This window comes from Homo sapiens, chromosome 2 (genome assembly GCF_000001405.40).
Source record: "Homo sapiens chromosome 2, GRCh38.p14 Primary Assembly".
NCBI classification, from domain to species: Eukaryota; Metazoa; Chordata; class Mammalia; order Primates; family Hominidae; genus Homo; species Homo sapiens.
Window position 1 is genome coordinate 62,358,592 of NC_000002.12, and position 19,347 is coordinate 62,377,938.

At 45.9% G+C, this 19,347-nt stretch overlaps 3 annotated features.

The window, feature by feature from the left end:
* Positions 3,550 to 4,050: an enhancer, noted in NCBI's record as "H3K4me1 hESC enhancer chr2:62589276-62589776 (GRCh37/hg19 assembly coordinates)". NCBI's record gives its function as "activates a minimal SCP1, AML or CMV promoter by ChIP-STARR-seq in primed H9 embryonic stem cells {active_cell/tissue: H9 hESC(primed)}" and the evidence as "EXISTENCE:reporter gene assay evidence [ECO:0000049][PMID:30033119]".
* Positions 4,051 to 4,551: an enhancer, noted in NCBI's record as "H3K4me1 hESC enhancer chr2:62589777-62590277 (GRCh37/hg19 assembly coordinates)". NCBI's record gives its function as "activates a minimal SCP1, AML or CMV promoter by ChIP-STARR-seq in primed H9 embryonic stem cells {active_cell/tissue: H9 hESC(primed)}" and the evidence as "EXISTENCE:reporter gene assay evidence [ECO:0000049][PMID:30033119]".
* Positions 15,674 to 16,260: an enhancer, noted in NCBI's record as "NANOG hESC enhancer chr2:62601400-62601986 (GRCh37/hg19 assembly coordinates)". NCBI's record gives its function as "activates a minimal SCP1, AML or CMV promoter by ChIP-STARR-seq in naive H9 embryonic stem cells {active_cell/tissue: H9 hESC(naive)}" and the evidence as "EXISTENCE:reporter gene assay evidence [ECO:0000049][PMID:30033119]".

Below are 19,347 nucleotides of genomic sequence, written 5' to 3' on the forward strand. Positions count from 1 at the left end.
TTTTTCTTGAGACGTAGTCTCGCTCTGTTGCCCAGGCTGGAGTGCAGTGGCGTGATCTGGGCTCACTGCAAGCTCCGCCTCCTGGGTTCACGCCATTCTCCTGCCTCAGCCTCCCCAGTAGCTGGGACTACGGGCGCCCACCCCCACGCCCGGCTAATTTTTTGTGTGTTTTTAGTAGAGATGGGGTTTCATCGTGTTAGCCAGGATGGTCTTGATCTCCTGACCTCGTGATCCGCTCACCTCAGCCTCCCAAAGTGCTGGGATTACAGGCTTGAGCCACCGCACCCGGCCAATCCTGTTTTTATGTAGAGACAAACTTTCCCTCTACTGGAGTGAGTAGGCTTTGTCCTGCTAGTGTGGTGGCCTTTGTGCCTCTCCCTTCCTGGGCCACTTGGTATCTTCTCTTCTTGCTCAGAAGGAAGCCCGACCACTGAGCCTTCAACATCAGCCCCGCTGCCTCATGGGAGAGGGTTTGGGGGCTGCTACCATTGGAGCTGGGCAGCTGCCAGTGGATGCCCAGGCAAACTCTACTGATTGTCTCTCACATGAGGGACACTGTAGGGGAGAATAAAACTTTTCCTCTATCCCCTGAATGTTCCATAATTGAGTCTATGAAATAAACTGACAGTGGACAGATTAACAGGAAAAAAGATATACAAATTTATTATGTGGACCAGGTATCACATGAAAGAAAAGTGAATACCTCCCAAACCCAGTGAGATCTAGAAGCTTATTTACTTGCTCGCTCTCTCTGTTTTTTTTGTTTGTTTGTTTTGTTTTGTTTGCAGGGACTCAATCACTTATTTAATTATTTATTTTATTATTTTTGAGACAGGGTCTCACTCTGTAGCCCTGGCTGGAGTGCAGTGGTGCAATCACGGCTCACTGAAGCCTTGACCTCCCAAGCTCAAGCAATCCTCCCTCCTCAGACTCCTGTGTAGCTGGGACCACAGGCACACGCCACCACACTTGGATAATTTTTAACATTTTTTGTAGTGATGGAGGTCTCACTATGTCGCCTAGGCTGGTCTTGAACTCCTGGGCTCAAGTGATCCTCCCGCCTTAGTCTCCTGAGTAGCTGGGACCACCGGCACACACCACCACACTTGGATAATTTTTAACATTTTTTGTAGTGATGGGGATCTCACTATGTTGCCTAGGCTGGTCTTGAACCCCTGGGCTCAAGTGATCCTCCCTCCTCAGCCTCCCAAAATGCTGGGATTACAGGTGTGAACCATCGCACCTGGGTTGGAAGCTTATACGCTCTCTTCATATGGGAGAGTGAGGGGTAACGTGGGCAACTTGGAGAGTAAATGATTTTGATTTGGGGGGAAGAAGAATAGATGACAGCCTGTGACAAAGTCTGTCTGGGCATGGTGTCAACCTTGTCTCTTCTGTGGTGTTGTTAATCTTCCCTGGTTGATGAGATCCCCAGGAGGTGACTAATGACAACTGAATTTCTTTTTTGAGGATATACCTTTAGACAGATGAGGGAACTTCAGAAAAAGTCCGTGTCTGTACTTCGGGGAAGAAAGAGGGGTGAGAGGCAGGAGAGCAGAAGAAGGTCAGAGAGGCCTTGCTTCCTCTTTAGTTCAAAGCACTCAGCATGCCAAAGCACCATACTTTGGGGTATGATTTTCTGTTTTTTGTTTTTTTGTTCTTTTTGTTTTTTGTTTTTTGTTTTCAGACAGAGTTTCACTCTTGTTGCCCAGGCTGTAGTGCAGTGGCACAATCTTGGCTCACTGCAATCTCCGCCTCCTGGGTTCAAGTGATTCTCCTGCCTCAGCCTCCCAAGTAGCTGGGATTACAGGTGCATGACACCACACCCAGCTAACTTTGTATTTTTAGCAGAGACGGGGTTTCAACATGTTGGCCAGACTGGTCTTGAACTCCTGACATCAGGTGATCTGCCCGCCTCAGACTCCCAAAGTGCTGGGATTACAGGCGTGAGCCACTGCTCCTGGCTGGGTTATGATTTTCTTTCTTTTTTTTTTTAAGGGACAGTCTCACTCTGTCGCCCAGGCTGGAGTGCAGTGGTGCGATCTTGGCTCACTGCAAGCTCTGCCTCCTGGATTCACGCCGTTCTCCTGCCTCAGCCTCCCGAGTAGCTGGGACTACAGGCGCCTGCCACCACGCCTGGCTAATTTTTGTATTTTTAGTAGAGACAGGGTTTCACTGTGTTAGCCAGGATGGTCTCGATCTCCTGACCTCGTGATCTGCTCACCTCAGCCTCCCAAAGTGCTGGGATTACAGGTGTGAGCCACTGCGCCCAGCTGGGGTATGATTTTCTGAGCCCCAATAACACTGTGCTAGGCTTTGGGTGGTTGGCGAAAAGTCAGCAGATAGGACTCTGCCCACAGGTCTTCCCTGTCTGAGGTGGTGGCCGAGACATGTGTACAGAAGCAGGCCTGTCCCTAACATTTATGGAGCCAGCATGAGAGTATCAGTGTAAGCTTGCTATTACATATTGAAATATTTATTTTTAATTAAAAATTTTTTTAACCTTCCCTCTTTTTCTGCCTCATTTACATTTTTTTGAGACAAAGTCTCACTCTGTCACCCAGGCTGGAGTGCAGTGGCGCAATCTCAGCTCACTGCAGGCCCAACCTCCCTGGGCTCAAGCAATCCTCCTAATTTAGTCTCTCAGGTAGCTGGGACTATAGGTGTGTGCCACCATGCCTGGCTATTTTTTTTTTTTTCTATATTTTGTAGAGATGGGGTTTCATCATGTTTCCCAGGCAGTTCTCAAACTCCTGGGCTCAAGCAATTCACCTGCCTCTGCCTCCCAAAGTGCTGGGATTACGGGTGTGAGCCGCCGCACCTGGCCTTAATATTTTTAAATATTTAAGTGTATACACTTTTAAATATTTAAAAGGTATAACTCAAGCTAAGAAACTGATGACTTAAAACAAAAAAACTGTTGACTAAAATATTATCTATTCTCTCCCCTTTATATATATAACTTCATAATGAATTAAGAAAGCCAGGTTTGAATGTAGAACTCTTTCTGATTTCTTGGCATTCTGTGCTTGGATATGGCTGTGGCAGGCAGCTTCTAAGATGACATGCAGTGATTCCCACCTTTGACATTTACATCCTTATGTAATCCCCTCCTCTTGAGTGTGGGCAAGACCCATGAGCTGCTTCTAACCTACAGAATACGGCAAAGGTAATGGGATGTTCCATTCATGATTAGGTGATATAAGACAGTGGCTTCTCTCTTGCTAGCAGATGCCCACTCTTCCTGGCTTTGATGAAGCAAGTTGCCTTGTTCCAGGGATCCATATTACTAATGAATGAGGGCAGCCTCCAGCCAATAGCCAGCAGGGAACTGAGGCCCTCAGTCCAGCAACCCTCAAGGAACTGAAATGCTGCTAACGACCACATGGATGTAGAAGCAGATCCTTCCCCAATCAAGCCTTGAGATGAGACTGCAGCCCCAGACAACACCTCCTGAGAGACTCTGAAACAGAGAGCCTGGCTAAGCCCTGCCCATATTCCTAACTCACAGAAACTGTGAGATAATACATATGTGCCATTTTAAGCTGTAAGTTGGTGGTCATTTGTTACGCAACAATAGGTAACTAATATAATGGCACTGCTGGAAAAGTGGCCCCCAGTTAGTGGCCCAGCCATCTTCTCTTCCTACCTGCTCTTCATCCTGAACCTGGAAGGGCCTCAAGTCCATCTCTGTGGACACCCCAGCTCTCATGTCAGTTCTGCCCACCCCCCACTCCACACTCCTGGACATAGGCCTAGAGGGTGCATGCATTTGGCAAGTGCTACCTATGAGCCCAGTGTTGCTCTTGGGAAGGTGGGCCAGGGGACAAACCCCAGCAAGCCCTGGGAATAGCTCAGGGACATTAGTGCAGGGAATTCTAGGGTCGCAGGTACCCATAGCATTCTAGAGGAGGGGCTTCAGGTCCTCGGCCCTCCACAGACTCTCCACCCGACTGGTAAGGGTGGAGCAAGGCCCTCTAGAGCACAGGGCCGAGGCCAGGAACCCCTCACCCATGGAGGCCAGCGCTGCACTCAAGGAGCACTGGCTGAGGGCCAGGTGATGGGACCAGACCCAGAGGGCTGCCTGACGAGGGCCAGAGGGCAGTGCTGCAGCACACCTGAGAGGAATCTTTACCGGGAACTGCGGGTGGAGCTGGGCCAGGAATGTGGGAGGGCTAAAGCACCAGCAATGGGAGGACCTCCAGCAGGACAGCCCTAGTCACTGGCTTCCAACAACGTAGTTTCTTTAGGGTGGAGAGGAGCTGGGGCTATTGAGTCATAGTGCATTTGTTCAAGCCCCGCCTCTGCACACTGGTACATGACTCTAGTCAAATTACCTAAACTCTGAGTCTCAGTTTCCTTCTCTGTAAAATGAGGATAATAATAGAACTTATGCCATAGGTTTGTGGAGAGGATTAGTGCATGTGAAATGCCTGATAAGTGTAATGAATATTGGCTGTTATTAAGGAAACTGAGGCTCAAAGCAGATGAAGGGTGATCTTTCTGTTCCCCAGTGCTGCTTGCCTTACCTAATATGTCAGAGGGTGACACGAGGAGGGGAGCATTCAGTTCTAGGATACGCATTGTCTCTACAAGCATTTATGGAAACTTTCAGACCATGACGCTAACTCATGCCATCCTTCCTCAGACTCCCCTAGAGCTGGCGTGACACAGTAGGAGGTGCTGCCTGAGTGTGCAGAGTGCGCCTTCACAGTGCCTGTCCAGGAGGACTGAGTTCACTGGGTGAGCACCTCAGTCCCTGGTCCCTGTTGCCTCATCTGTGAAACAAAGGGGTTACCAGTGTAACGCTAAGCATAGACCACAGACTATAGCCTCATCTTTTGGTGCACCTGAAGGAAGTTAGAAATGCAAATCTCAGCCATCCCCCTCCAACTCCCCTCACACAGACTTACTAAGTCAGAATCTCTGGAACAAGGATCTGAGAGCTTGCATTTCTCTTTTCTTTTCTTTTTTTTGTGAGATGGAGTCTCGCTCTGTTGCCCAGGCTGGAGTGCAGTGGCGTGATCTCAGCTCACTGCAACCTCCGCCTCCCGGGTTCAAGCGATTCTTTTGCCTCAGTCTCCCGAGTAGCTGGGACTACAGGCATGCAGCACCATGCCTGGCTAATTTTTGTATTATTAGTAGAGACAGAGTTTCACCATATTGGCCAGGCTGGTCTCTTTTTTTGTTTGTTTTTTTGAGACAGAGTCTGTTGTCCAGGCTAGAGTGCAGTGGTGTGATCCCAGCTTACTGCAACCTCCACCTCCCAGGTTCAAGTGATTCTCCTGCCTCAGCCTCCTGAGTGGTTGGGACTACAGGCACCCGCCATCACGCCTGGTTAATTGTATTTTTTTTTTTTTTTTTTTTTAGATGGAGTCTCGCTCTGTCACCCAGGCTGGAGTGCAGTGGCACAATCTGGGCTCACTGCAACCTCCGCCTCCCGGGTTCACGCCATTCTCCTGCCTCAGCCTCCTGAGTAGCTGGGACTACAGGTGCCCACCACCATGCCCGGTTAATTTTTTGTATTTTTAGTAGAGACAGCGTTTCACCGTGTTAGCCAGGATGGTCTCGATCTCCTGACCTTGTGATCTGCCCGCCTCGGTCTCCCAAAGTGCTGGGATTACAGGCGTGAGCCACCGTGCCTAGCCAATTTTTGTATTCTTAATAGAGACAGGGTTTCACCATGTTGGCCAGACTGGTCTTGAACTCCTGACCTTAAGTGATCTGCCCACCTCAGGCTCCCAAAGTGCTGGGATTATAGGCGTGAGCCACCACGCCCGGCAGAGTTTGCATTTCTAACATGCTCTCCAGGTACTTTTTTTGCTTGCTGAAGTGGAGAACCTCTGGGTTCTGACAGTGGACTGTCAGAGGTCTTCACAGACTTGAGTCCACAGATGCCTTCAGGTGCCAATTCAGAGGCCTCACGGTTGGGCTTCCTGGGTCCCCACCCTGGGTCAGTGCAGGACTCAACCAGAGCAACTCCCCTGGGGTTCTAAGAAAATGAATGTTCTCCTTCTCACTCATTAGAGGTTAGAAACTGCTGGGCTGGGGTCAGGGCCACTTTTGTAATTTGTGGGGTCCAGTGCAAAATGAAACTGCAGGGCCCCTTATTCAAAAAACAGGAGGAAAGCTTTTTTCCTTTCTTCTGTGGTCTTCCATGTCACAGCGGTTTTTAATTTGTGATTTAATGTCATGCACCCTTCAGGCATGGGGATATAGGCAAGGCGAGTACAGACCCTCACCAGCTTCCGGACCTTCCTGAGGAAGCTGCAGTTTACAGGGAAACCTCTGAGCTCTTTTTGGAGCAAAACTGACTGCAGCTGGCAGCACGCAGTTACTTAGGGTGATTAACGAATGCATTTGAAAATTCCCTCCTGCTTCAGCCTCAGCCTGTGCCTGAGCTATGGTCAGTGCAGCAGTGCATTTCTGTATAATCTCTTTTGACAACTGAGAGGGGGGCCAACCCACAAGACTAACCCAATTACAGCAAAAGAGAGACCTGGCTGCTCCCTGTCGACAAGGTGAACACAAGGGTATCCCCTTTCGGGGATGCGGTGCTTCAGGACCAGTGGGCTGCCGGCACGGGAAGTACTTTCCTGCTCCAGCATCTTGAGATATTTTTGCTTTGTGACAAACGGTGGCTGTCACTCCTGGGCTGTGTCAATTAGGCACAATCTGCTTGCACCCCCACAGCTGGGCCTGAGATACTTCAGCACAGGAAGAGATATGCAATGGTAAGAGCCCTTATCCGGGATCAGAAAAGTTGGGGTCTCTGGTTCCCTATCTTGCTGTGTGGCTTTGGGTAGAGCATTCAGTCTCTTTGGGCCTCAGCATTCTCTTCTGTAACATAATAAGGTGTTAAAGTAGATTACCCCCACCTCTTCTTCTCTCTCATTAACATTCCATGTGGGTAAGGATTTAAGAGAGAGTTTTCAGTCTATACTGTTAGTTTTACAGGTAGAGCTGTAAGAACATAGGGCAGAGGGGATATACACCAAAACAAGGGTTGGGGTTACATCATGGAAGGCTAAAGTGTCCACTTAAAGAGTTTGGCCCTTCTTCATAGACAACAGGGAGTCATTGAAGGCATCTAAAGAGGGAAAGGGATATGTTCAGAGCTGAGCATTAGGAAGAGGAAGTGGGAAGCGATGTTTCAGAAGAATTGAGGATGGAAAAGTAGCCAGCTAAGTAGTGACCACGTGTGCACACACCTTTTGCACTTCCTGGACAGCACCAGGCTGCCTCCCTAATTCACAGTCCCACCAGCAAGCTAAGAGAGTCCTTATTTCCTCATAATCTCTCTATCACTTGGCATTGTTAGACCTCTACATTTTTGCCAATGAGATGGTTAGGAATTGGCATGTCATCGTACTAATTTGAAATTGCATTTCCTTGGTTAGTAGTGCAGTTGATTTCACTATATTGCCCAGGCTGGTCTCGAACTCCTGACCTCAGGTGATCCACCCGCCTCGGCCTCCCAAAGTGCTGGGATTACAGGCATGAGCCACTGCGCCCGGCCTGTAAAAGTTTTAATAATTTCCTTTTACCTTTAAGTCTTTGACCCATGTTGAATTTATTTTGTGTATAGCATAGGTAAGGATGAAATTTTATCTTTTTCCACATGGATACCCAGTTGTCCTGGCACCATGTATTGAATGGTTCACAGGTCGTCTCCGCTGCCCAGGGTGAGACAAGCAAAGCACTGGTTCTCAGGGTTGTGCAAGCTCATGGCCGGCAGTAGAGAGTGAACACCTCCTTAAGTTTTGCACCCTGGGCACCTCACTTGCCTCCCCCTGCATGCCTGGCCTGGCTGTTGCTCTCTGCACCTGGGAATCCAGCCCAAGGTGAGAGGGCTTCTCTTCTCTTGTCATTGACAGTCCCCGACACACACAAGACTTTGCGTCTTCTGCTTAGGAATGTTGGTTCCTGATACATAAGGGGCTTTGTGAAGAAGGAGGAAAAAGAACTCTGGAATTTCCTATCAGCTCTGGAGGTGTTAGGAGGGGTGCCTGGGACTAGGGCAGCTATGGTGAGACCTTTCGGGGTGAGGGTCAGGGACCTTGTGCCCCAGAAGTGCTGTTTGAGGCTTCACAGTTTTCTGAGGCTTCTGGGGGCAGGACGCTGGTGCTTACATGGCCTCTCCCCTCTGCGCTGTCAGGAACAAACCCTGGAATGCCTGGTAGTTGTGGTTCTGCCCCCTGCCTTCTCCATAGAATATGGAAGGTGCTTACAGAGCACCCTAGAAAGTTTAACCTACTGCACAGATGTGGACTCAGATAGCAGTAGAAGTAGAGAAAAATTTTCCTCTTCTCATTTTTTTTTTTTTTTTTGAGACGGAGTCTCACTGTCGCCTGGGCTGGTATGCAGTGGAACAATCTCGGCTCACTGCAACCTCCGCCTCCCAGGTTCAAGCGATTCTCCTGCCTCAGCCTCCGGAGTAGCTGGGACTACAGGCGCGTGCCACCACGTCCGGCTAACTTTTGTATTTTTAGTAGAGACAGAGTTTCACTATGTTGGCCAGGCTGGTCTACAAACTCTTGACCTTGTGATCTACCCATCTCAGCCTCCCGAAGTGCTGGGACTACAGGTGTGAGCCACTGCGCCGGGCCTTCTCATTCTCTTTTAATCCTTCTAATTGCACCTGGGAGAAAAGCTAACCTATAAAGCCCCCTCCCTGACAACACTTGCTAATCTTCCCCTGTTATCCCCTAGAGACTGGGCCTCAGGCTTGGGAGCCTTGGTGAGTTATGGTATCTGACCAGATATTTAGTCAATTGTTTTGTTTTGTTTATTGAGACGGAGTCTCACTGTGTTGCCCAGGCTGGAGTGCAGGGGCGCAATCTCGGCTCACTGCAACCTCTGCTTGCCAGGTTCAAGCAATTCTCTTGCCTCAGCCTCCCGAGTAGCTGGGATTACAGGTGCCTGGCAACACGCCTGGCTTATTTTTGTATTTTTTAGTAGAGACGGGGTTTTGCCATGTTGGCCAGGCTGGTCTTGAACTCCTGACCTCAGGTGATCTGCCCGCCTCAGCCTCCCAAAGTACTGGGATTGCAGGCGTGAGCCACTGAGCCCGGCCACATTGTTTTGTTTTTGTTGTATTTATTTGGGAGGAGTTACCTTCTATTCTTGCAAGTGATGGCAGTTTGCTATTAATGATGCCAGTAGAGCATTTCCTTTTGAACACATTTATTCAAGCAAAAAAATATGCCTTATGTGTGTAAAATCACATTTATGTGTGTATTTGGATAAAGACATGTAGGAAAGGAGGACATCAAAATGTTGATGGTGGTTTTCCCGGGGTGATGAGATTTCAGGTGGTTTTTGGCTTCCTTATTTTTTTTGTGTTGTTTGCATTTTTTATAATGAGTATACACTGAGTTACACAATCAGAAAAGAACTATATTTATTTATTATTATTATTTGTTTTTTGAGACAGTCTCACTCTTTCGTTCAGGCTGGAGTGCAGTGGTGTGATCTTGGCTTACTGCAACCTCCGCCTCCCGAGTTCAAGCAATTCTTGTGCCTTAGCCTCCTGAGTAGCTGGGATTACAGGTGTGCATCACCACACCGGCTAATCTTTGTATTTTTAGTAAAGATGGGGTTTTGCCATGTTGGCCAGGCTGGTCTCGAACTCCTGACCTCAAGTGATCTGCCTGCCTCAGCCTTCAAAAGTGCTGATTACAGGTGTGAGCCACCACACCCAGCAGAAAAAAAAGTATTTTTATTATGGAAAGAGGTATATGCACTTAAAAGAAAATATTAAGTGAATAATAATACAAGGAATATATTTGTCAACATGTTGACTAAAGTTGGGAAACCCAATTCACAAAATAGCAACTTAGGGAGAATGTGGGGCTTGCTTTGGGAGGCTGTGTGGGAGAAGAGGGGACAACTGAAAGCAAGCAGAGAAGGATCCAGGAAGGGCTTCCTGTCCTGGGACATTGTGGCTGCCGCCAAATAGCAGCTGGGCTCTGTCCTTTCAGTGTTGTTCACAGGATTCCATTTCAGAGTCTCAGTTACAACTTTTTAATGGGGACATAATGATCATTTGGTGAGGTCAAGGCTGAGTTTTGGTGGTGTGTTATTTACCTTGCCAGGATGGGGTGGACAAGAGGAAACTTCGTCAGGGGTCTTGCTATGTTGCCGTATTAGTCCATCCTCATACTGCTATAAAGACATAGCAGTATGAGACTGGGTAATTTATAAAGAAAAGAGGTTTAGGCCGGGCGTGCTGGCTCACTCCTGTAATCCCGGCACTTTGGGAGGCTGAGGCTGGTGGATCACCTGAGGTCAGGAGTTTGAGACCAGCCTGGCCAACATGGTGAAACCCCATCTCTACTAAAAATAGAAAATTAGCCAGGCATGGTGGTGGGCACCTGTAATCCCAGCTACTCGGGAAGCTGAGGCAGGAGAATCTCTTGAACCCGGAAGGTGGAGGTTGCAGTGAGCCGAGATTGCGCCACTGCACTCCAGCCTGGGAGGTTGCAGTGAGCTGAGATTGCGCCACCGCACTCCAGCCTGGGCGACAAAGTGAGACTCCATCTCAAAAAAAAAACAAAAACAAAACAAAACAGAAAAGAGGTTTAATTGGCTCACAGTTTCGCAGGCTGTAGAGGAAGCATGGCTGAGGAGGCCTCAGGAAACTTTCAATCATGGCGGAAGGTGAAGGGGAAGCAGGCATGTCTTACATGGCCAGAGCAGGAGGAAGAGAGAGAAGGCGAAGTGCTACACTTTTAAACAACTGGATCTCGTGAGGACTCACAGATGTTCAGGGCAACAGCAAGGGGGAAATCCACCCCCATGATCCAACCACCTCCCACCAGGCCCCTCCTACAGACTGGGAAGGATTGGGAATTATAACTTGACATGAGATTTGGGCAGGGACGCAAATCCAAACCATAGGAGTTACCCAGGCTGGTCTTGAACTCCTGGCCTCAAGCAATGTCTCTTGGTTGAGAGCACTGGCTTCTCCCCATTGGGCTGTCCTTGTCTGCAAGGTGACTGCTGTGTGGTTCCTATCCCAGACACTTGGTGGCTGGTGCCAGGCCCATGGTACTGGCCCCTCCCAGGGAGGGCATAATTTAACAGGAGCCCTGGGGCAAAGGATTCCTGATGTGTAGCCTTGGGAACCCTAGGCTCACTGCCCTCAGGAAGAGCCTTTTTTAGATCACAGCCTAAGTTACTGTTTAACCTTTAATAGGGCCAGCAGCACAGTCCAGACGCAACAAGAAGCACACAAGTAATCTCAGCTCTTCTTCCTCGGGGACTTAACTTGGCTTCACATCTGACTCTGGTTCTGGGCATCTAATGTGGGACAGATGTGGGGTAGGAGACAGTATCTGCCAATCATGAGATAATAAGGACTAAGTAGCTGCTACTCACTAGCACTGTGGGAGGACCAGATAGTCACTGTCCCTGTTCTTCTGGAGGCGGCAGGAAGCAGCATGTGGCAGAGAAGCGGGGTTGCCACAGGACACAGTGTAGGGCTCTGGAGGTGGGGTAGGGCAGGGGGCCTGAGCAGGAAACCTTTATGCTGAGACACAAGGAGTTTGCCAGGTGACAACAGGTAGGGAGGGGCAGCCCAGGAAGAGGACTGTGTGCAGAAATCCTGAGGCAGGAGGGATGTGGTGTCCAGTTGAGAGATGCCCTTTAGGTGGCTAAAGAAGAAAGCGCAGGCTGGGGACCCCTGGGGAGCAGATGAGCCTGGGGAGACAGACAGGGCCAGATCCTGTGGGACTGCCTAGGGCAGTGGTTCCCAATGGAAGGCAATTTTGTCCTCCAGGGACATTTGGCAAGGTTGTCACAAGTGTGTTGGGGGGTGCTCCAGGGATGCTGCTGAACATCCTGCAATGCAGAGGATAGCTCTGACAACAAAGAATTTTCCGCCCCCAAATGTCAGTAGTGCTGAGGTTGAGAAACCCTCTTCTAGGACCACTTGAAGGACTTTGTTCCTTATTCTGAAGCCAAGGGGAAGCCATAAAGGGGTTTTACATAGGAGAGTGACTGATCAGATTTCTGTTGTAGAGTATTCCATGTGGCTGCTCTGAGGAATTTTGAGACCTAACTGTTCTAATTCAGAACCACTCTTGGTAGTTGTGGATCCATTCTCCAGCTTGGGAATTTCCAGCCTCTGTGATTTTCTCTCCCCCATCCCCACACCCGCACCTCCAGGGCTAGGCTTTTGGCTGCTTTGTGGCCATCTGGGTTTCTGCCAGGGCAGGGAAACCAAAGCAGATATTTACTAAGAGCTAAGCAGGGCAGGGGTTTCTCCACTCCACACAATAGGTACAGCACTAGGGCCTACAAAAGTGTTTAAGGCCTATGTGGCAGGCAGAAAAATGCTCCTGCAAAGATGTGCATGTCCTAATCCCCCAAACCTGTGAATATGTTACCTTACATGGCAAAGGGATTTGGTAGAAGTGCTTAAGTTAAGGATCTTGAGAAGTGGGAAGATTATCCTGGATTATCTGGGTAAGCCCAATGTAATCAAAAGGGTCCTTCTAAGCGGAAGATAGGAGGGTCAGATTCAGAGGCTGGGTGATGACAGAAGCAGAGGACAGAGAGAGATTTCTAGATGCTGCAGCTGGTTCTAAAGATAGAGGAAGGGACCAGAATTCCAAGATAAATTTGTGTGCCACCAAATTTTTGGTAATTTGTTACACAGCAACAGGAAACTAATACAGCCTGGAAAAAGTTTTTATTAACTCTGAAATAAAAGAGGAAAACTGCAAACTAGATATTAATAAATGCATTTATTTTAAAATTTGTTTTTTAATATTTAATAAATACAAAAAGGTATAAAGATTAATACAACAGGCCAGGCACAGTGGCTCACATCTATAAGCCCAGAATTTTGGGAGGCTGAGACAGGCGAATTGCTTGAGGCCAGAAGTTCAAGACCAGCATGGGCAACATAGGGAGAGCTAGTCTCTACAAAAAAATTTAAAAATTAGCCAGGTGTGGTAGTACATGCCTCTAGTCCCAGATACCTGGGAGGCTGAGGCAAAAGGATTACTTGAGCCCAGGAGTTCAAGCCTGTAGTGAGCTATGATCAGGCTACTGCACTCCATCCTGGGTGATGGAGGGAGACTCTGCCTAAAAAGAAAAAAAAAAGACTAATATAACACACAGCTAGGTAGTATTACCCACCCAACTCAAGAAATAAAGCATCTCTTTCTTATTTTATCTATTTTTTTTTTTAAGACTAGAGATGGGGTCTTGCTGTGTTGCCCAGGCTGGTCTCAAACTCCTGGGCTCAAGCAATCCTCCCACCTCAGCCTCCCAAACTGCTAGGATCCCAGGCATGAGCCACCATGCCTGGCCGAAATAAAGCATTTCTAATACAGCCAAAGAATCTTGCAGACCCATGTTGATTTCATTCCCCTTTCTTCCTTAGAGAGGTAATCAATATCCTAAAGTTGGTATTTATTATATTCTCATATTTTTAATAAATGTATCCCCAAACAATACGTAATATTGCTTTGCATGCAACTTTATATACATGGCATCATAGTGTGTTTTCTTATGCAGCTTGATTTTTATGTCAAATGTGTTCTGAAAATCATTCTTGTTGATGTATATGGCAACTATATATTACCCTATCGTATGAATATGTCCTACTTTATTCTGCTGACACACATTTAGGTTGTTACCAGTTTGGGGCTATTACAAACCATATGGCCATGAACATATTTGTACCTGTCTCATTGTGAATTTCTGCAAGGGTTTCTCTAGAGTTAATTCCCAAGAGTGGAACTTCTGGTACCTTGGATAAATAGCTTCTCCAGAGAGTTCAAACCATTCTTTAGAGAGACTGGGCCAATCAAAATTCAACTGGTGATGCATAGAATTCTTGGTGATGCTGGTATTCTTAGATTTTTGCCAATATAATGAATGTGAAATAATATTTTATTGTGATAAAAACTTTTATTTTCTGGATCACTATGGAGTTGAGTATCTTTTCCTGTGTTTACAGATCATTCCTGTTTCTTCTGTGAATTGCCTGTTCATCTCTTTGCCCACTTTTCTGTTGGATTGATGGTCTTTCTCTTGTCGTTTTGTAGAAATTCTTTGTATTGTTTGGAGTACTACCCCTTTGTAGTTATATGTGTTGCAAATATCTTCTCCCATTGTATGGTTTGTCTTTTCATGAACATACATTGTCTTTTGATGAAGAGTCTATTGAGGCAGGAATATCATCTTATCCCAAGGCAGGAATTGGGCAGAAATTCAGTTCCATGATCCACCTAGGATTATGTTTCAAGGCTCAACTGGTGAGAATAGTTAAGGAGTGTAACTGGCACTGGACCTCAGTGTTGGAAAGTAATGGGGCATGGTGTGCACTGTAGCAAGCTGGAGAGCGTTGGGAACAGGTGCTTGGTGTCGCAAAAATCAACACTGAGACAAAGGATCTCTCAGCAAGGCTAGTTTACTTTCTGCAGAAAGGGTGCCGCTCACTAGCAGTCTTGCCATGAGCGCACACCCGAACAAAGGAGACAGGGTCACTTATAACCTGAAGTGGCCACCCTACTGCTGTGTCTGGTTTCCACTGGATGGAATGCGACCTCACATTCTGTACTAGTCCCGATTGGCTAGTGACTTAGAACTTTCCAAAAGAGGCAAAGGCAGAGGAGAACAAAGGAAGGTGGAAGCCACTTGTGGAATGCTGAGAAAGGTAAAAACACCTCCAAATAAGGAAGAGGAACAGGCTGTGGCCTAATGCTTGCTTGGACCAGTATAAGCATGCCAGGGCAAATATCTAGGCTAAAATATGGGAGCTAAGAACACAAAGTACATTGATTTCTTTATTACGGCTAGCAGATATCTAAGAATGTTAGCCCAGGTCTTTGAATAAATTTTGCTTCTAAAAGAAGTTACTATTTATTCGTAATTAGACGGGGAGGAAAGTCCCTTTGAAGAGAAACCTCTACTTCACTTTCTACAATTGAAAATGGCTGTTAAAAAAAAAAAAAAAAAGAAAATGGCTGTTATGGGATATAGTGATTCCTTGATTCCAGCTGCCTTATGTGAGCAGGGAATGCAGACGTAATATTGTCAGATCTTCTGATTTTTTTCAAGAGAAACCAGAAATCCAGATTTTTATGGGGATGGCAACTGATTTTTAAGTACTGGCTCAAATTCAATAATTTTACAAAGTTGTTCAGGCCAAATAAAACATTTTTCTGGGGTGCCACTTTGTGACCTTTGATTTAGCCCAGAATAAATTGTTTGTTTGCAGCCTGAACTACCTTTGGGATAACCAGTTCCTAAGAGCCATATGAAATAATATTTCCTTTTACTTGTACTGAAATAACCTCTGTTGAATAACAAGAATCTTTCCTTACTTGAATGCTTAGGAATTTGTAGTTCCCAATACAATCTCACAGATTTCAGTTGTATCTCATATTAATTGTCTCCTTCTCAGACAGAAGTTGAGATGAATGAAATAGTCACAAAGCCTGAGACCAGTGTTCTGGTATTGACTTGCTTCCCACAGTACTTAATGAAAATAATTGTTTTTTTCTTTTAGGTCTAAGTAAGTGTCTTAATGGCTGTAATTTACTTGTGTGAACCCAGAAAATCTGAGACAGGTCTCAGTTTATTTAGAAAGTTTATTTTGCCAAAGTTGTGGACAGCCTGTGACACAGCCTCAGTAAGTCCTGATGACATGTGCCCAAGGTGATCGGGGGACAGCTTGGTTTTATACATTTTAGGGAAACATGAGGCATTAATCAATATATGTAAGAAGTACATTGATTCTGTATGGAAAGGCAGGACAACTTGAAGCAAAGTCAGGAAGTGGGGAAGGAGCTTCTAGGTCACAGATAGGTGAGACACAAAGGGTTGCATTCTTTTGAGTTTCTGATTAGCCTTTCCAAAGGAGGCAATCAGATATGCATCTATGTCAGTGAGCAGAGGGATAACTTTGAATAGAATGGGAGGCAAGTTTGCCTTAAGCAGTTTCCAGCTTGAGTTCTCCTTAGTGATTTTGGGGGCCCAAGATGTTTTTCATTTCACACTTGTAAATACTGCAGCATTGACAATGGAATGCTGTGTACCTGCTAGTCAAATTAAGCTTCAATTCCAAGGGCAAGCTACACCCCAGGGGTGTCAGCTAGTTTTATATCTGAAAGGCTATTCAAGGTGCCCCTTAGAAATTGCTTGAGTCATCTATATTTTGATTGATAGCAGATACTTTGCTAATCAGCACATGAATATCAGAAATTGGTTTTATTTTGTGGTGAAATCAGTGGGTTGGTAATTAGCATGAGACAATGATAGAAAAGGGCTCACTGATGAAATTAAAGAGAATCAAGATATGTGAATATGCTAACATATTTGAGAGGCCCTGCTCATTTGCCTGAACAGGGTGTAAGAGTCTATTGAGGCCTTTAGCATGCCCCTATAAAGATGGTGCAAGACCCTGGACTCTGAACCACTCCTGTATCCAGATATTGCTTTAGAAGAGTTTCTGGTTGCCTGATGCTGACCACAGAGATAATTAAATCCTGTCTCTGAAATGTTGGTTCTCTTCCTGCGGACCATTCATGTCATGTAGTCATTAAATCATTTAAAAGGACATAAGCTGGGACTTCATGAAACCTACAGAGTGGGTTGTATAAAATGTTCTGTGCCTAATGGTCCATGAATACTGGCTTAATAAATGTCTTTGAGTGGGGCAGAATTTTGCCTGGGGCCTTCTTTTATTACAAGTTGATAGCAATGTAGGAAATGAGCAGCTTAATCTTACCCACTACCAAACATCTTGAGCTACTGCCATAAACTGAAAGTAACAGGCTAGTTCCCAAAAATGAAACAATGGAGGAGCCAAAACAAAGCTGGAGGCATCACATTACCTGACTTTATACTACAAAGTTGTAGTAACCAAAACAACGTGGGACTGGTATAAAATCAGACCCACAGACCAATGGAAACCAAATAGAGAACCCAGAAATAAACGCACACATTTACAGTCAAGTCATTTTTTTGTTGTTGTTTTGTTTTTGTTTTTGAGACGGAGTCTAACTCTGATGCCAGGCTTGAGTGCAGTGGTGCGATCTCGGCTCACTGCAATGTCTGCCTCCCAGGTTCAAGCAATTCTTCTGCCTCAGCCTCCTGAGTAGCTGGGACTACAGGCGTGTGCCACCACACCCAGCTAATTTTTGTATTCTTAGTAGAGATGGGGTTTCACCATGTTGGTCAGGATGGTCTCAATCTCTTGACTTTGTGAGCCACCGCGCCTGACCCAGTCAACTCATTTTTGACAAAGGCACCAAGAACATAAATTAGGGAAAGGACACCTTTTTAATAAATGATGTTAGGAAAATGATAATCATATGCAGAGGAATGAAACTAGACCCCTATTTCTCACCATATACAAGAATCAAATAAAAAATGGATCAGGCCAGGCGTGGTGGCTCATGCTTGTAATCCCAGCACTTTGGGAGGCCAAGCCAGGTGGATCACCTGAGGTCAGGAGTTCGAGACCAGCCTGGCCAAAATGGCAAAACTCCGTCTCTACTAAAAATACAAAAATGAGCTGGGCATGGAGGCACGCGCCTGTAATCCCAGCTACTCAGGAGGCTGAGGCAGGAGAACCACCTGAACCCGGGAGGTGGAGGTTGCAGTGAGCCAAGATTGTGCTACTGCACTCCAGCCTGGGTGACACAGTGAGACTCTGTCTCAAAAAAAAAAAAAAAAAAAAAAAAAAAAAGGATCAAAGACCTAAATGTAAGACATGAAACTACTAGAAGAAAACATTGGAGAAATGCTTCAGGGACAATAGGCTGGGCTAAGATTTCTTGAGTAAGACCTCAACAGCACAGGTAACCAAAGCAAAAACTGACAAATGTCATTAGATCAAGCTAAAAAGCTTCTGCACAGCAGATAAAACAATCAACAAGGTGAAGAGACAACTTATAAGATGGGAGAAAATACTTGAAAACTACTCATCTGGTGAAGAATTAATAACCAAAATATAGAAAGAACTCAAACAACTCAATAACAAAAAAAAAATCTGATTTAAAAATATGTAAAAGATCTGAATAGACATTTCTCAAAAGAAGACATAAAAATGGCTAACAGGTATATGAAAAAATGCTCAACATCACTAAGCATTAGGGAAATGCAAATCAAAACCAGAATGAGATATCCCAGTTAAAATGATTATTGTTAAAAAAACAGAAAATAGCAAAAGTTGTCAAGGGTGCAGAGAAAGGGGAATGCTCATACACTGTTGGTGGGAATATAAATTAGTATATCCACTATGGAAAACAGTATGGAGGGTTGTCAAAAAACTAAAAATAGAACTACCATATGATCCAGCAATCATCCTTCTGGGTATATACTCAAAAGAAAGGGCTGGGCATGGTGGCTCATGTCTGTAATCCCAGCACTTTGGGAGGTGAAGGCAGAAGAATCACTTGAGTCCAAGAGTTCAAGACTAGCCTGGGCAATATGGTAAGACCCTGTCTCTACAAAATTTTTTAAAGAAATTAGCCTGGTGTGGTGGCATGCACCTGTAGTCCTAGCTACTTGGGAAACTGAGGTGGGAGGATCATTTGATCCTGGGAGCTTAAGGCTGTAGTGAGCCATGATCGTGCCACTGCACTCCTGCTTGGGTGGCAAAGCAAGACCCTGTCTCAAAAAAGAGAAATAAAGAAAGGAAATCAGTATATCAAAGAGATATCTCCACCCCCACATTTATTGCAGCACTATTTACAATAGCCAAGATATGGAATCAACATTAAGTGTCTATCAACAGATGAATGAATAAAGAAAAGGTTTTATACACACAATGGAATATTATTCTACCGTAAAACAGAATGAAATCCTGTTATTTGCAACAACATGGATGGAACTGGAAGACATTATGTTAAGTGAAACAGGCCAGGCATGGAAAGACAAATGTCTTATGTTCTAACTCATATGTGGGAGCTAAAATAATCTACCTCATGGAGGTAGAGAGTAGAATGGCGGTTACCAGAGGCTAGAAGGGCAATGGAGAGGGGAAGATAAAAAGGGGATGGTTAATGGGCACAAAAATACGGTTAGATAGGCTGGGCATGGTGGCTCACACCTATAATCCCAGCACTTGGGGAGGCCGAGGTGGGTGGATCACCTGAGGTCAGGAGTTCAACACCAGCCTGCCCAACATGGTGAAACCCCATCTCTACTAAAAATACAAAAAATTAGCTGGGCATGGTGGCATACACGTGTAATCTCAGCTACTCAGGAGGCTGAGGCAGGAAAATTACTTGAACCCAGGAGGTGGAGGTTGCAGTGAGCCAAGATCATGCCATTGCACTCCAGACCGGGCAACAGAGCAAGACTCCATCTTAAGAAAAA